The sequence below is a fragment of the Homo sapiens genome, chromosome 2 (genome assembly GCF_000001405.40).
Source record: "Homo sapiens chromosome 2, GRCh38.p14 Primary Assembly".
NCBI lineage: Eukaryota > Metazoa > Chordata > Mammalia > Primates > Hominidae > Homo > Homo sapiens.
Genome location: NC_000002.12, coordinates 207775802 through 207793222, shown reverse-complemented (window position 1 = coordinate 207793222; position 17421 = coordinate 207775802). Strand labels below are relative to the sequence as shown.

General features: G+C 45.5%; 1 annotated feature.

The window, feature by feature from the left end:
- Positions 9743–10243: an enhancer, noted in NCBI's record as "H3K4me1 hESC enhancer chr2:208647704-208648204 (GRCh37/hg19 assembly coordinates)". NCBI's record gives its function as "activates a minimal SCP1, AML or CMV promoter by ChIP-STARR-seq in naive H9 embryonic stem cells {active_cell/tissue: H9 hESC(naive)}" and the evidence as "EXISTENCE:reporter gene assay evidence [ECO:0000049][PMID:30033119]".

Sequence of the window (17421 nt, the reverse complement as noted above, 5' to 3'; positions counted from 1 at the left end):
GCGGTGGCTCATGCCTGTAATCCCAGCACTTTGGGAGGGTGAGGCAGGCAGATCACCTGAGGTCAGGAGTTCAAGACCAGCCTGGCCAACACGGCAAAACCCTATCTCTACTAAAAATACAAAAATTTGCCGGGCATGGTGGCACACGCTTGTAATCCCAGCTACTCAGGAGGCTGAAACAGAAGAATTGCTTGAACCCAGGAGGCAGAGGTTGCCGTGAGCTGAGATCGCACCACTGCACACTCCAGCCTGAGCGACAGAGCAAGACTCTGTCTCTAAAAAACAAACACAGCAAAAAAAAAAAAAAAAAAAAAAACAAAAAAAAAAAACATGTCTAAGTCTTTTTGAAGATAGGTGTTTTTCCTCTCTTGGGTGAATGTCTAGGAGCAGAATGGCTGGATTAAAGCTGACTGTTTTCCACATTCTTCCTGTCACTCAGTACCTCAAGATTCACTGCCTGGACAAAATGGAGGCAAAGAGAGTTTGGGGGAAAATATAAGCTGGAATGGGAGGCGGCAGCATTTTAGAGTAGGAGATACCAGGAACTTGGATTTGTAAGACCTCAGCCAGCTCTCGCTTCTCCTGGGACTGACTTTGTCTTTGGTGAGTCAATCATTCAGGACCCCAGTCCCCTCATGTGTAAAGAGAGCAGTCATGCTAAAGAGCTCCAAGTAGGAGCACACATTTTCAAAGGTAGATGCCCCAGGAATGAAGCTGGGCCATTAGCCAACTCCTTGCCCCGTCTTGGAGGTGAGAAGACGTGGTCAGGCTCCCCACCACTGAGTCCAAGTGAGGAAAATGGCATGTTCAGCATGGCTTTCTGGAGGTGGCTAGGGAAGAACAAACCAGTGACTCATCTAGATCCAGGAAGTTCTGTCTTTGTTCAGCCTCCAGCTCACAGTTGAGCTGTGGCGGGGTGGGGGGGGGTGGGGGGAGGGGGGGAAGGGGGAGGAGATTCCGGTCTTCTGCACCTCCTTCTATGTAATCTGGAAAGTAAGCTTGGATTCTAGTCCCGGCCCACTACTAACCAAGGGAGCTTGGACAAGCCACCTAACATCCAGGCACTTCAGGGAGCTTCCATTCAGCAACATGTATAAAGCAGTCCCATAATAAAATAAGGAAATGTGTTATTAGAAGTGACAATGAGAAATGCTGAGGACTAAGGTTTGGGGATGTAGAGATAAGCAATTCATGAAACTCTGCAAACAGCAACTTCCCATCTCTCCCGGTTTTCTCTCTCAATATCTTTATTTCCAGTTCCCCAGTCAAATGCAACAGCTCCCCCAGCCACCCCCACCGCGCCCAACCCCTCTTGCCCCCCCGCCCCCCACCCCCCACACCAGTGAATGCCTGCTAGGCTCCAGGTGTTTATCTGGACTGGAATGCCCCCATCCCTGGAGGGTCAAATACTTCTTGCCAGGTAATAGAGCTCCAGGAGGACAGGGTTGGACGCTAAGAGAGGCAGGCCTGGGCTGGAATGCTGACTCCACTTGCTAGTGGGCAGATGTGGAACTGGGAGTTACCTCATCTCATTTTCCCCAGGTACAAAGTGGAGCCAGTGCTACCTTCCTTGGAGGAGTCTTTTGAGGACTAAATTAAAAGCTATAGTTTAGCATCATGCTAGTACATCATAGGTGCTGAAATAAACATTTGCACTGAATAAAAGTAAAGAACGATCCATGGATGTTTTTGGGGAGCTGTGAAAATAATTTGTTTAGGGAAGTGTTAGATATGGATCAGAGATCATGAGCTCCATGAATTTAAGGGACCCTGTCCTTCAGGTTTATCTGGCACAGTGCGTGGCATATCACTGGCACTTGATAGTACTTGTCCAATGAATTATTCCATAAGGAAGACCTTGGATAGCAAATTGTTCAATTTGCAAATCCAGTGATTGTTTTGTCCTTTTATTTAACAGTGATTACATGCTAATCTCCAGGGCAGGCTCTGAGAAAGGCACAGAAGCCAGACCCTGCCTTCTTAGGGGTGCTGCATAAAAGCCAGGTTTCATGATGTTAGGGATGAGGATTTGGCTGGGGAGTGGAAAAACTGGAGCACAAGGGACACTGATGGGTGGGAGGCTAGCCGGGAGGCTCTAGCTGTGGCTGGACAGGACCAGGCAAGGCTGGGAATGTGGCCAGAGGCACTGGTTTGAGAGATAGTACCAGGGGAGAGTTCTCAACTGGTGGAGGAAGGGAGACCTCAAGACAAGTTCAGGTTTTTGTAGACAGATTTTCTAGCCATGTGCTTGGCCACTGGAGAGTAGAACCTTCCTTGCCATGGTGGTGACAAGTTGTTGTGTCTTGGGGAGAAAGCCTCCCCTATTCCAGAAGGGCAGTGGGCTGGTGTGAAAGACCTCCACAGATGGGACTCCCAACCTTCTGGGAGTCCATCTGATTCTGCAGAGCAGGGGGTTTCCTGATGTTCCTGGGATATGGTAGAAACTTCAACTGCCCCTCTCCCTGCTCCACTCTGTCCTGCTCACAACAGGGTAGACTGATATTCACACTGATAGAGAGCACTTTTCCAGGGAAACCCCAAATGCCATAGCCTGAGGCCCAAGGCCTAGAGGCTTTCTGAAGAGGGTAGGAACTGGGCTGAGCTCAGAGGAGCTTGTTGAAATATTAAACAAGCATCTTTCACTACATGACCTCCGGGGTTTCAATTTGTGTCTCCTTAATATGCCATTAACTGTTCCATGTATTCCATTGTATTTACTTATTTCTTTCCTCATCCCCTACACCTCTGTTGGGAGGTTTTCAGCCATCTATTCACTTAACAATTATTCATGGAGTGCCAACATGCTGGAGATACAAAGGAAAACAAGAGGCCGGAGCGGTGGCTCATGCCTGTAATCCCAACACTTTGGGAGGCTGAGACAGAAGGATCACTTGAGGTCAGGAGTTCGAGACCAGCCTGGCCAACATGGCGAAACCCCGTCTCTATTAAAAATACAAAAGTTAGTCGGGCATGTTGGTGCGTGCCTGTAATCCCAGCTGTTGGGAGGCTGGCAGGAGAATTGCTTGAACCTGGGAGGCAGAGGTTACAGTGAGCCAAGATCTGCCACTGCACTCCAGCCTGGGCAACAGAGCAAGACGCCGTCTCAAAAAAAAAGGAAAACAAGGTAGAATTTCAGCCCTCCAGATTGGCAATTGCTAGTAAATAGTTAAATGTCATTATAGATTTGACCCAGCATTCAATTTACAAAAAATTTATTTTAAAGATATACTCCCATAGGTTCCAAAGTTTTGGTTTTTTGTGTTTTTTTTTTGAGATGGGGTCTCGCCCTGTTGCCCAGGCTGGAGTACAGTGGTGAGATCTCGGCTCACTGCAACCTCTGCCCCCCAACCCCAGGGGTCAGGCAATCTTCCCACCTCAGCCTCCTGAGTAGCTGGGACCACAGGGGCACACCACCACACTTGGCTAATTTTTTTGTATTTTTGGTAGAGACAGAATTTCACCATGTTGCCCAGGCTGGTCTTGAACTCTTGAGCTCAAGTGATCCACCTTCCTCAGCCTCCCAAGTGCTGGGATTACAGGTGTAAGCCACTGCGCCCAGCCTAGTGCCAAAACTTACATGTAAAAGGACAATCCCTGCACTATTTTGAATAACAATCCAAAATTAGGAACAATGCAGATGTCCATCAGTAGGGAACTGACAAAATAGCATATGATAAATCTAAACAATGGAATGTTATAATTGGCCCAATAAATACAAATTGATCTTTGTAGAATGGTAGGGAAAGATCTCTAAGAAAGATTATTTAGTAAAAAGTTATTATACTACTTTTGTTTTTAAAAATATATGTAATTGGCCAGGCATGGTGGCTCACGCCTGTAATCCCAGCACTTTGGGAGGCCGAGGTGGGTGGATCACCCGAGGTCAGGAGTTCGAGACCAGCCTGGCCAACATAGAGAAACCCCGTCTCTACTAAAAATACAAAAATTAGCTGGGTGTGGTGGTGCACACCTGTTGTCCCAGCTACTCAGGAGGCTGAGGCAGGAGAATCTCTTGAACCCAAGGAAGCGGAGGTTGCAGTGAGCTGAGATTGCACCATTGCATTCCAGCCTGGCTGACAAGTGAAACTAGGTCTCAACAACAGCAACAACAACAACAACAAATGTGTGTGTGTGTGTGTGTGTGTGTGTGTGTGTGTGTGTGTGTAATTATATGCTTACAAAGACAATCTAGTTTCTTTTTTTTTTTGGAGACAGAGTTTCACTCTGTTGCCCAGGCTGGGGTGCAATGGTGCTATCTCGGCTCACGGCAACCTCTGCCTCCCAGGTTCAAGCGATTCTCCTGCCTCAGCCTCCCGAGTAGCTGGGATTACAGGCATGTGCCACCACTCCTGGCTAATTTTGTATTTTTAGTAGAGACAGGGTTTCTCCATGTTGGTCAGGCTGGCCTCGAACTCTCGACCTCACGTGATCCACCTGCCTTGGCCTCCCAAAGTGCTGGGATTACAGGCATGAGCCACTGTACCCGCTGACAATCTAGATTCTACAGCTCAGCTGTCCAACAGGTGCCTATTGAACATGTGAGATGTGGCTGGTCTGAATTGAAATGTGCCGTGTGTATAAAATACACAGCAGATTTTGAAGATTTAGTAAAATACAAGAATGTAAAATATTTTAGTAATTATTTGATTATGTTTTGATTTTGTGAGGAAATAATATTTTGGGTATATTGGGTTAAATTAAACATAACGTTGAACATTAAACATAACATTGAAATTGATCTCAGCCTGGTGCAGTGGCTCACACCTGTAATCCCAGCACTTTGGGAGGCTGAGGTGGTTGGATAACCTGATGTCAGGAGTTTGAGACCATCCTGGCCAACATGGTGAAACCCCGTCTCTACTAAAAATACAAAAAAATTAGCCGGGCATGGTGACATATGCCTGCAGTCCCAGCTACTCGGGAGGCTGAGGCAGGAGAATCACTTGAACCCCGGGAGGCAGAGGTTGCAGTGAACTGAGATCGTGCCATTGCACTCCATCCTGGTCAACAAGAGCAAAACTCCATCTCAAAAAAAAAAAGAAAGAAAGAAAGAAATTGATCTCATCTCACCTTTATTTAAACTACAAGGAAATGGAAAATTACATATGTGGTTCCCATCATGTTTCTGTTGGACCACATGGTTCTACGGCAGGGGTGGCACACTGTGGTTGCAGGGCCAAGTCAGGCTGAATCCTGTTTTTGTAAATAAAGTGTTACTGGAACACAGCCACACCTATTCGTTTAGGTGTTGTCTGGCTGCTCACAGAGACGCTCTCCTTTGACCAAACTTGAATCAGGCTCCCCTGAGTCCTCTGCTTGACTGAGCTGACCTTGGGCTTCCCTCCCTGTCCTTGTAGAATCTACTTGGAGCAAGATCCCACTACGTTAGTTTAGTGAACATCCCCCACCCTCAATATCTTTATCACCCTGGTCTCCCTTCAACAAGAATTCTACTGAATTTGTCTAGCAAGAAGCCCCCTTACACCTGATGTTTCGTCTGAGTAATTTTCCATCCACTGCCACCAAGCCTGCTCCTTGGCTGTAAATCTCCACTTACCCTTGCGGGAGTTGAGCCCACTGCAAGACCCCACTGTGGTGGTCCCTATTCCTACAGTGATAGTTGCCTCCTAAGTAAAGTCTCCCTTCCCATATTTAACAAGTGTTGTGAGCCAGGTCTGGTGGCTCACACCTGTAATCCCAGTACTTTGGGAGGTCAAGGAGGGAGGCTCATTTGAGCCCAGGAGTTCAAAACCAGCCTGAGCAATATAATGAGAACCTGTCTCTACAAAAAATTAAAAAATTATCAGGCCATGGTAGTGCAAGACTGTAGTCTCAACTATGATGGAGGCCGAGGTGGAAGGATTGCTTGAGTCAGGAGGTTGGGGCTGCAGTGAGCCGTGGTCATGCCACTGCACTCCAGCCTGGGTGACAGAGGAAGACTCTGTCTCAAAAAAAAAAAAAAAAGTCATGAATAATTTTTCCTTAACATTGCTTTTCTGCTGTAAGGGCAAAATTGAGTGGTTGCAACAGAGATGGTGTGGCCACAAAGCCAAAAATATTAACTATCTAGCCCTTTACAGGAAAAAGCTCTCAGTGTTGCCCAACAGTGTTTAGATAATCTACAATGATTATCTTTGGAGATTGAGATTAGGGCAGATTCTTACATTTCTTTTTTTTTTCTTTTTTCCCGAAAGAATGTATTCTTTTTGTCAACAGGGGAGAAAAACAATTAAAAGAACTTGAAAAAATCTGCCCTCATAGGGTGCACATTCTAACAGATGGGTAAGTAAATAAAAATCTAAAGAGTCAAGGGAAAGTAGAAGGTCACTTAGGCGTTTGATATGTTAAGTAGATAATAACGGTAATAGCCAGTAATTATTGAAAGCTTAACTGGGTGTTGGACACTGTGCGCAAAGTGACATTTTAAATATTTATCTTTTTCTTCGAGATCAAAATAGCTTTATTGGCTTTTATGATTTTAAATGTAACACATGCTCATTGCAAAAATTCAGAAAATATTTTTTAAAATGAATTCCGTGTATAATTTTAATGAGATTAGTCTATAAATACTGTTTGATAACTTGCTGTTTTCACCAACAATGTATTTTGTACATCTTTCCATGCTAGTGAATATCACTCTGTGGCTACAGATTACATCCTTGTATGAGTATGTCAAACTTAATGTTTATTGTAATTTAATTTAATTTAATTTAATTTAATCTTACCTCTCTTAATCACAACATGCCCATTTTACGGTTGAGGAAATTGAAGCCCAGAGACATTAAGTAACTTGCTCAACCAAACAAGTCCATGCTCCTTTTTTTTTTTCTGAGGGCAGAGTCTTGCTCTATCACCCAGGCTGGTGTGCAGTGGCATGATCTCGGCTCACTACAGTCTCCAACTTCCGGGTTCAAGAGTGATTCTCCTGCCTCAGCCTCCCAAGTAGTTGGGATTACAGGTACTCACCACCATGACCAGCTAATTTACAAGTCCATGCTCTTAACCACACTACAGTATGTTGGGGAGTTAGCCCGGAGAAGTCCATAGAATCAAGGAAGGGCTTTACTATTGCTCTCCCTGCCTGCATTTTCCTAAGCAGCATTTCTGTCTATTTTCCTAAAGTAGTCTTGAGCTTGAGAAAGGCAGTATGAGGGTTACCTGCTCTGGGATGTTCTGAATGCTTTAAAAAAACCTTTCCATTAGGAACGTAACCTGCTTATAAACTACTATAACAATGCAGAAGCAAAAACTGGCTTTTCCATTCTGTCCCCTTCTCCACGACCCTGTCCCAGACCTGGAGAATGGCCTCCCAGGCTTCATATTTAAACGATGTTAAATAATGCTTTTAGCAGAAGCAGTGCACATGACATTGTTTTTACTTGCTTTTATCACGTAACAATAGAGGATAGGCCTTTTTACATAATAGCATTCATACTCAATTTTTTTAACAGTTGCATATTAGTTTAATAATCCCCCCCCCTTTTTTTTTTGAGACGGAGTCTTGCTCTGTTGCCCAGGCTGGAGTACAGTGGTGCGACCTCAGCTCACTGCAACCTCTGTCTCCCAGGTTCAAGTGATTCTTCTGCCTCAGCCTCCCAAGTAGCTGGGACTAGGAGCGTGCCACCACGCCCGGCTAATTTTTGTATTTTTAGTATAGACGGGGCTTCACCATATTGGCCAGGCTGGTCTAGAACTCCTGGCGTCGTGATCCACCTGCCTTGGCCTTCCAAAGTGCTGGGATTACAGGCTTGAGCCACCGCGTCTGGCCAATTATCCCCCTTTTAATGAAAGAATCAATCAAAATTCTGGAATTTTGAATACTAGAAAAATAACTTTTAAGAACTGCTTTTACCCTTTAGTCTTTGCTTTCAGGAAGTGGATTTATGTTTCTGATTTCTCGGTGGACACAGCCAGCAGGCTGGGTGCAGTTCTGAATCTCTGTTGGAAGACATGGCCCCCATCAGTTTTCAATCTGTGACAATCTGGGAACAGAGAACCAGAGACGGAAGTAGAACCTGATGATCTTTGACCCTCAAGATCTTGCACAATCACAGCATTATGCACCTGCAAAACTGGAGATGATAACTGTCACGATAATTATGACTTGCCAGGGAGGGAGGCGTGTTATGGAATGTCAAAGTCGTGTCCAGGCAGAGTAGGCTGAGGAATGATGGCTTCATGTCTGCCTGTCTTTCTCTACCTTTGCACCCACCAGCCTAGCTTGGGCCTCTTCACTTCATTCCTGGGCTTCTATCATGGTTTCCAGGAATCTCCTAAACTGAAGACCTCCTCTGCAACAATCCGCTTAGCCTAGGATGGCTAGATTACACTCCCAACACAAAGTTTTGTGCATGCTGCCTCTCACTCAAACACTTAAACAAAATTCCAGATCATTATCTTGGCATCCAAAGCCCTCTCTAGTGTTGCCCCATCTACCCTTTTAATCTTATCACTGAGTCACTCTCTACATCTGTCTCCTTGGTCCCACCAAAGTGGACCTCTTTGCCCCCAACCCGCCTTGCTCATTCCAGGCTCTGCCTCTGACATAGTTCAATAGAAACGACATAAATTTTAGGGTAAAAAAACTTAATTTTTTATCTTTCTCGTATAAAGCATGTGACTTTGGACAAGCCACTTAATCTCTCTGAGCTATAATTTTCCCCTCTGAAAAAGGATCTAGTCATATGTGTGTGTGTGTGTGTGTGTGTGTGTGTGTATATATATATATATATGTATGTATATATGAGGGTGTGTGTGTGTGTGTGTGTATATATATATATATGTATGTATATATGGGTGTGTGTGTGTGTGTGTGTGTGTGTGTTTGTTTGTTTGCCCAGGCTGGAGTGTAGTTGAACAATCATAGCTCCTGGGCTCAAGCAATCCTCCCACCTCAGCCTCCTAAGTACCTGGGACTGCATGTGCATGCTACCATGCCTGGCTAAGTTTTTGTAGAGACAGGATCTCCCAGTGTTGCCCAGGGGCTGATCTCAAACTCCTGGGCTCAAGCAATCCTCTCACCTCAGCCTCTCTAAGTTGGGGGATTACAGGCGTGAGCCACCACGCCTGGCCTAGTATTATATATTTTGATATGAATGACAATATGTGAGAAGTCTGTCTAGCCTGAGTTGGTAGCCAGCTCAGGAACCACGTGTTCACCATCTCATCCCCAGAGTCCGGAATAGTTTCTGGAGGGGATCATGTAATCAGAATGGAATGAATAAATGAATCCTATTTCATCCACTTGTCCATAAGATAGGTGATTCGTCCAAGGTCAGATATTGAGTGACCAAGACAAGCTAAAGGTAACTAAGGAGGGAGCTCAGACAGGCATCTGACTGCTAGTTGGGCCTATTATCTCCCCACCTGACCAAACACTTCATCACTGTCCCCAGCTTTGCTTTATTCCATGGGAAGGGAAGAGCTGTCAGGAAGGTGCCTTCTAGAAGCCATTTTCAGGGTCACTCTTCTCTCTCGTACTCATTCATGTAGCCCACACTTTCAGGGCAATGTCTTTGATCTCTGGGGAAGTGAGACTATTTTATATCTGGGCTTCAAGACTACCTTTCAGCTTTAATCAAACATTTTCTTCAAAATTCTTCAATTCACGACTCAACAGATCTGCCCCTTTTATTTGAGTATAGTATTTTATTTTATTTATTTTTGAGACAGGGTCTCACTTTGTCACTCAGGCTGCAGTGCAGTGGCACGATCTTGGCTCCCTGCAGCCTCAGCCTCCTGAGCTCAGGCAATTCTCCCACCTCAGCCCCCCAAGTAGCTGGGACTACAGGCTATAATATTTTATACTCAAAATTCCCTCTAAACTCCCTCCTACCTTCCTCATCCCTTCCTCACCTCTGCCAATGAAGTTCTAGGACTCATATTAATTTTTTGGCATCCTCTGAAGCTCTTATGTTTTGAATCCGCAAGTCAGCTCTGTAACTTTATAGTAAGACCCAGGAAAGTGAAATTATTTGCCCAAGTCTAGAGTGAGCTGAGAGTGAGGGTGAATTGTAACTCAGGTTTTCAGACTCCAGAGCCTGTTCAGTCCACTCTCCAAGTTCCCATGGCTGTACATTTGCAAAGTGCTTTTGTTTCTAGTTGCTCAGGTAATCATCGTAAGTCTCAGAGAGCATGACCTCATTGCTATTGCTGGATAGCAAACCACCTAAAAATTGAGAGACTTAAAACAACAATCACTTCCTACTCCAGCTCCTGCATCTGCTGTTCATTGGAAGCCTTGCTACGCAGACCTGCAAATCCTGGCTGGGTTTGCTTATGTACCTCTGGGTCAGCTGGGCTGCTCTGTTCCAGGCAGAGCTGAGCCTGGGGCAGCTTCCTTGGAGCAGCTCTGCCCGACATATCTCTCATCCTCCTGCTGGGACCAGCGGGCTAGCCCTGGCACCCTGGCCTACTCTTCTCATGGAAATAGCAGAGAGGCGAGGGAGCGAGTCCAATCACACAAGAACATTTTCAAGTCTCTGCTTGTGTCACATCTGTAACATCCTATTGGCCAAAGCAGCTGTCATGGTCAGAATCGACGTGTAGGGAATATACCCATCTCTTGATGGAAGGAACTGCAAAGTCCCATGGCAGAGGGTATGGATATCAGGAGGGATGAAGAGTGGAGGCGCTAAAGCGAACTCCCACAGCCTTCAAATATCAAGCCATCCTGCATTCAGCTATTTTTTTTTCTTGCCTCCAAGCACAAGCCCATTCTCTAAAACATGGCCTCCCCATCACATAGGTACCCCAAGCACACAAGTGTAGCAGAAATGGGCACTGAAGGTACTTCTTTGGCTGGTGACTTCAGCACAAAGGTTGCACTTTGGCCTGCTGCAGCAGGGTAAACAAAGAGTGAGGTTGACAAGCTGGCACTGGCTCGAACCTCTCAGCTCTGCATCCAGCTGCCCCCACCCTAATGGCTTTTTAGAATGTGATTCACTGCTCTAGGAAGATAAAAGTAATTGAGAGTGTAATTTATATTGAGAAAATTGCTCTGAAAAAAAAATTAGTGAGCAACAGTCCAGACACTTTGTCTCAAAGGGAGTTTAATACCAAAAAGTCTAGGAAAGACTGAACAAAGCAGGATAAGGGTTGTGGGTAACTGGAAGAGTAGATATAAACCTGCGGATATGAGGGGTGGGAGAGAGATCTAAAACAGAAGAAAACATTTTTTAACAATTCTGAGAAACTCTGAAATCATCTTAGAGGAGAAATATGGACAAGCAACAAGCCTCACATTTTCTGAGATTTGTTTTCCTTCCTGGAAGGGCTCAAGAAGAGACTTAGATGTGTAACACCAAGTTTTCAGTGAAAACTTCTCCAAGAGATTTCTTTCACACACCCTACCCCTTTCACTGCCAGAATAAATATGCTAGGAGGCCAGTCACATATGACATGAAATCCAAACAGACTGAACACATTCAGAGAAACCTGAGAGAACCCACTTTTCAACTCAGATAACTGTGATCATCAGCTCTCTCTCTGGTTTAGATTATAAGCTCACTATACAGAGACTTACAATTCTATAAATAATAATATTCACTTGTGACGAATGTTAAACCAAATAATAGTAGTAACATTACTGGCCACAAAGTTATATTTACAAAGGCTGCAGACTTGCACATCTGAGGGCGAGAACAGATAAGTCAAAGCCCCTACTTGCCCAGGGAAGCGTTACCTGGAGTTTCCCCAGGAGTATTTGGACTCTCTAATTTTCTCTCATTCAGTTTAAGTTTATCCAAAATCTTCTTTGACCCATTTCTTCATCTGTAAAATGAGGAGGTAAAAACCACAGGATCATCAAGATCCATTCCAGCATACATAGGTGACTGTGATTTTTCCCACCATTATCCCCGCTCATTACACTGTATATCGAAAGAATGAAATCGATGTGGCATTAATCTTTGCCCAAGTATTTAATAGCAGAGGTAAGATGGCACAGATATTTAAAATAAAACCACAATAGAGTTACAGCAAGAGGAATCCCTGCAAGTGAAGCATTGCCAATTACACACTGAGTGGCCCTAGGCGAGCTACTCAATCTCTTTATGCCTAGGTTTCCTCATCTGTAAAATCGGGAAAATAAAATAACCTATTATTACTGGGTGTTGTGAGGATTGAATGAGATAATGCATGAAGCATTTAGCTAGGGGCTTGGTACATAGAAAGCACTCCATAAATCTTTTATTGCCATCTGCAAATATGATTTTGGCAACCCTCAGGATGGCAGATTTTCTTTCACTAAGAGGTGAATCTGAGAAAAGTTGTTGTATTTTAAATATGTTGGTGTGTGGGCTTTGGGGTTTTTAAAAAAACTTTTAGGTTCGTGGGGTATGTGTGCAGGTTTGTTACATGGGTAAATTGTGTGTCACTGAGGTTTGGTGTATGAATTATCCCATCATGCAGAGAGTGAACATAGTACCAGAAATTAGCTGGGTGTGGTGGCAGGCACCTGTAATCCTAGCTACTTAGGAGGCTGAGGCAGGAGAATTGCTTAAACCTGAGAAGTGGAGGTGTCAGTGAGCAGAGAATGCGCCACTGCACTCCAGCCTGGGTGACAGAGTGAGACCCTGTCTCAAAAGAAGTTCCCTGGTCTCGAACTCCCGACCTCAGGTGATCCATCCGCCTTGGCCTCCCAAAATGCTGAGATTACAGGCATGAGCCACCATGCCTGGCCTGCCTCTTGCAGAATTAGTCTCTTGCAGAGACTATTTTTTTTTTAAAGCTTGGAACTAAATCTGTGACTAATTAGAATGGAGTGTTCCACCACCTTTAAGTCACCAACTAAAATCCACTGCTCCATGTCCCGGTGCGCACGAGGCCTTCTGGGTGACCAGCTCAAAGGAAAATTATTGTCTCAACTTAGGTCTCTGTGTGTAGGTACCCACAGAATGGAAATCGCTTTACTTGGGGAAGAACAAGAGGACAAGATGAGATAAAAAGGAAGCATGTTTAAATGGATAAAAGAAGGTACTTTTTTCCCCCACTACACACAATTGACCTGGGGAACTCACTGCAGCAGGATATTAAGATCAATGGTGAAGATTTGTGTTTTAAAGGATTAGACATTTCACATGCATATCATCAACAGTGAGGCTCAATAGGATAAAAGTACAGCGGATGAAAGTTCTCAAGCTTCAGTGTATAAGTTGATCACCAACTGGGTCAGGCAAAAAGAAAAAAGTTGTCTACCTGATTATCTAAGATGTCAAGGGACGGTGGGTTTGGGGGTATTTGGGCATTCCAGTTACCACTACTGTGTAACAAACCACTCCAAATTAGTGGTGTAAAACAAGAGCCATTTAATTATGCTCACGGATGCTGCAAATCAGGAAGCGGGAGAGGGCACAGTGGGGATGGCTAGTCTCTGCCCCATGCTATCTGGGGCCTCAGATGGGAAGACTTGAACGACAGGGAGTGGCTTGAGGCTGGGGGTAGAATCATCAGGGAGCTTCTTTAGTCATGTGCCTGACACCTGGCCTGGGATGACCCCGTCTCTACAAAGAAAACAAACATTAGCCGGGCGTGGTGGCGCATGCCTGTAGTTCCATCTACTCAGGAGGCTGGGGTGGGAGGATTGCTTGAGCCTGGGAGGTTGAGGCTACAGTGAGCCGTGGTCGTGCCACTGCACTCCAGCCTGAGAGACAGATTGAGACCCCGTCGCAAAGAAAAAAAGAAAAAGAAAAAATGGAAAAAAAAAAAAAAAAAAAAAAGGCCGGGCATGGTGGCTCACGCCTGTAATCCCAGCACTTTGGGAGGCTGAGGCAGGTGGATCACGAGATCAGGAGATCGAGACCATTCTGGCTAACACGGTGAAACCCTGTCTCTACTAAAAATACAAAAAATTAGCCTGGCGTGGTGGCCTGTAGTCCCAGCTACTCAGGAGGCTGAGGCGGGAGAATGGTGTGAACCCGGGAGGCGGAGCTTGCAGTGAGCTGAGGTCATGCCACTGCACTCCAGCCTGGGGACAGAGCGAGACTCCGTCTCAAAAAAAGAAAAAGAAAAAGAAAAAGAAATGGAAAAAAAAGAGGGGCAGGAGGGAGCAACATGGTCAACTGGACCAACTGTGTATTATGTCTTTGGGCTTGGACTGGAGTTCCTGCCTCCACTGAAGCACATGGCGGTGAAAAGAAGGGTAGATGCCTACAAATCAAAACACAAAAAAACCAACTGGGGTTCTGTTAGGAAACTGAAAGGAGAGATGACTCGGGCAGTAATCAACAGTGTTTGTAGCATGAAGCCTGGGGAAGGTTAAGGCTCTGTTTTCTTTGTGGGTATCACCCAACACTCTTGTTTTTTCTCTCTTGTGCTCTTTGCTCCTTTCCTCTGTCCTTTTGCATTAGTAATGAGTTGGATAAATCAAACACTGTATCAATAAATAAGTGTTTTAGGTAGAGTGTGTATATGAATTTAACTCATTAAAAAATACTTTGGCCGGACGTGGTGGCTTACACCCTGTAATCCCAGCACTCAGGGAGGCAGAGGTTGGGAGGACAGCTTGAGCCCAGAAATTTGAGACCTGCCTGGGCAATGTAGTGAGACCCTCTTCTCCACAAAAAGGGGGAAAAAAAAGACAAAAAGAATACTTTGATTAGACATGAGTGACTAATCAGGTACAAGTTTGACTTTCAGGTACAAACCTTGACTCAGTTGCTTCTGCTACTTCTTGATAACCTGGTAATCCCCAGCTGTTCACCACTTGTGCCAGCCTCACTCCTGGCTCTATGCCCTTTGCCTGGGCTGATTCCTCCATCCAGGAAGTCCTTCTCACTTTCTTTTTGCACACATAGTAGACACTGAGGCTTCACTCTCCTGGCCTCCTTTCTATCCTTCTAGTAGTCTAGTTGGAGAGACTGGAAACCTCGAAACTACATTTCCAAGAGCCAGGTGTGGCAGTGCGTGCCTAGAGTTTCAGCTACTCAGGAAGCTGAAGCAAGAGGCTTACTTGAGCCCAGTTCAAGACTCAGCCTGGGCAACATAGAGAGACCCCATCTTTAAAAAAAAATTACATTTCCCAGACTCCCTTACAGCTCCGGTGTGGATCTGAAATAAGTTCTCGTGTGAGATTTGGCGGGCAAAGCAGAAGCTACTATTCCACTGTTGCTGCGGTAGCGGCTGCGTAAAGCAAGCAGGGTGAAGGCACTGAATGCTGCTGGACTCAGAGTCCCTTCTGACCATCTGGTCGCCAGCTTCGTGTGGCAGTTGCCTTGTCACAGGCAGTTGCAGCAGCACCACCACCATCCTGATTTCTGGAGCATGGCTACTGTGGTGGGCCCTTGAACTCAATACTCCAGGGGTACCCCCCTGGCATGTATCCCTCCAGCCCTCTCGAAAATTGTGTAATGTCTGCTTGATTCTCAGTATTAAATTTTTCTTTGCTTGAAATACCTAGAGAGGCCAGGCGTAGTGGCTCATGCCTGTAATCCCAGCACTTTGGGAGGCCAAGGCAGGCTGACAGCTTGAGCCTAGGAGTTTGAGACCAGCCTGAGCAATGTGGCAAAACCCCATCTATACAAAAAATCAAAAATCAGCTGGGCATGGTGACACAGGCCTATAGTCCCAACTACCTAGGAGGCTGAGGTGGGAGGATCGCTTGAGCCCAGGGGGTCAAGGCTGCAGTGAGCCTTGATTGCACCACTGCACTCCAGCCTGGGTGACAGAGCAAGACCCTGTCTCAAAAAAACAAAAACAAACAACAAAAAAATAAATACCTACAGAGGTTTCTACTTCCTATACTAAACCCTGATGGACCGTCTAACCCATAGGCCAGCCTGGGTCTTCCCTGAACCACCAGGTTGTGCTAAGTGCCTCGTGTGAGCTCCCACTATGCCCCACATTGTAAGTTCCTGCCTTTTCATCTTGTGACCCTGGCACCAGTGCTTGGCTCACAGCAGGTGCAGAGTCAGTGTTTAATGAACTGAAGCTCCCTCTGCCAAGATACTGGGAGGTTCTATAATCTAGCTTAAGGGGCACTCCACCTCCTGCTTGCTCTGCAAAGCCCAAAGAACATGTTGCCTCTGGACGCTTACTGGATTCAAGATGAATCCCAGGTCCTCGACTTTTCCACGCTTGAACCACCCCGCCACAAGAGGCCACACCAGAATTGGAGAGTTGACCTGGTCCCAGGAAAAAGGTGCTAAGGAGCAAGAAAAATTGCTTATCTCAAGATTTACCATCTGGTTGTTCTTAGGGCCCTGTACTTGATGAATGGTTGCTGCTAGGCTGCAGTGAAGGCTGCAGTGAATGAGAGCATCGGCTTTGAGGCCAGGGAAACCCTCCAAGTTGGAAGGTGTGCAAGCTTCAGCAAGTCACTCAGCTTGTTTGAACCTCAGGTTTTTGTTTGTTTTCGAGACAGGGTCTCACTCTGTCGCCCAGGCTGGAGTGCAGTGCAGTGGTGTGACCATGGCTCACTGCAGCCTCAACCTCTGGGGCTCAAGCGATCCTCCCATCTCAGCCTCCTGAGCAGCTGGAACCACAGGTGCCTGCCACCACGCCCCACTAATATAAAAATAAAACCTTTTTTTTTGTAGAGCTGGAAGTCTCCCTATGTTGCCCAGGCTGGTCTCGAACTCTTGAGCTCAAGAGACCCTCCCACCTCAGCCTCCTAAAGTGCTGGGATTACAGGCATGAGCCACTCACCCAGCCATGATTTTTCATCTATAACATGGGAATGATAAAATCAATCTTACAGGATTCTTAGGCATAAAAAGGTATGCATAAAATGTCAAATGCTTAGTACAGTGCATGTACTTATGAAGTGCTCCATACTTATCAGTAGCTCTTGTAATGGTCATCATTGTTGTCACTTCATCACAATTCTGTTGCTTTATATAATTTTTCCTTCAGCCTAAACAGACTCGGATGCGATTAGCCTAGAATGCAGTTCTTTATACCTATTCCCAGTGTTCCATTTTACACACTGATGTGAATAACCCTCCTTGCAAAAGACTCAGCTAGGCCCAAGTCTGGGGCTGTACTGAGGAAACACCAAAACCATCTATGCCAGTGGTTCTCCACCCTAGCCAAAAACAGGGTTAAGACTTAAAAACAAAACCACCACCAAAACAAACAAATAAACCAAAACACATTTCCTGTCCCTCAACCAGAGACTCCGATTAAACAGGGCCCAAGCTTCAGTATTTCTAAAAGCTCCCCGGTGATTGCAATGCGCAGCTGAGGGCCACTGATCAGCGTGGCAAAGATTAGCCCAGTACTTCCATTACCCCGAGGAGAAAAAGAAAGCTGCTTTTACTCTTCTATAATCTCCACCACATTGTAGGAGAAGAGAGGACTGAAGATTACTGTTGAATTATTCCACTTACAAAAGATACTCTCATTATGAACCCAGGAAAAATGGCTCATTGTTTTAATCCTCTGGTTTGTGTCTCGAGGTATCTGATACGATGGGAAGAGCAG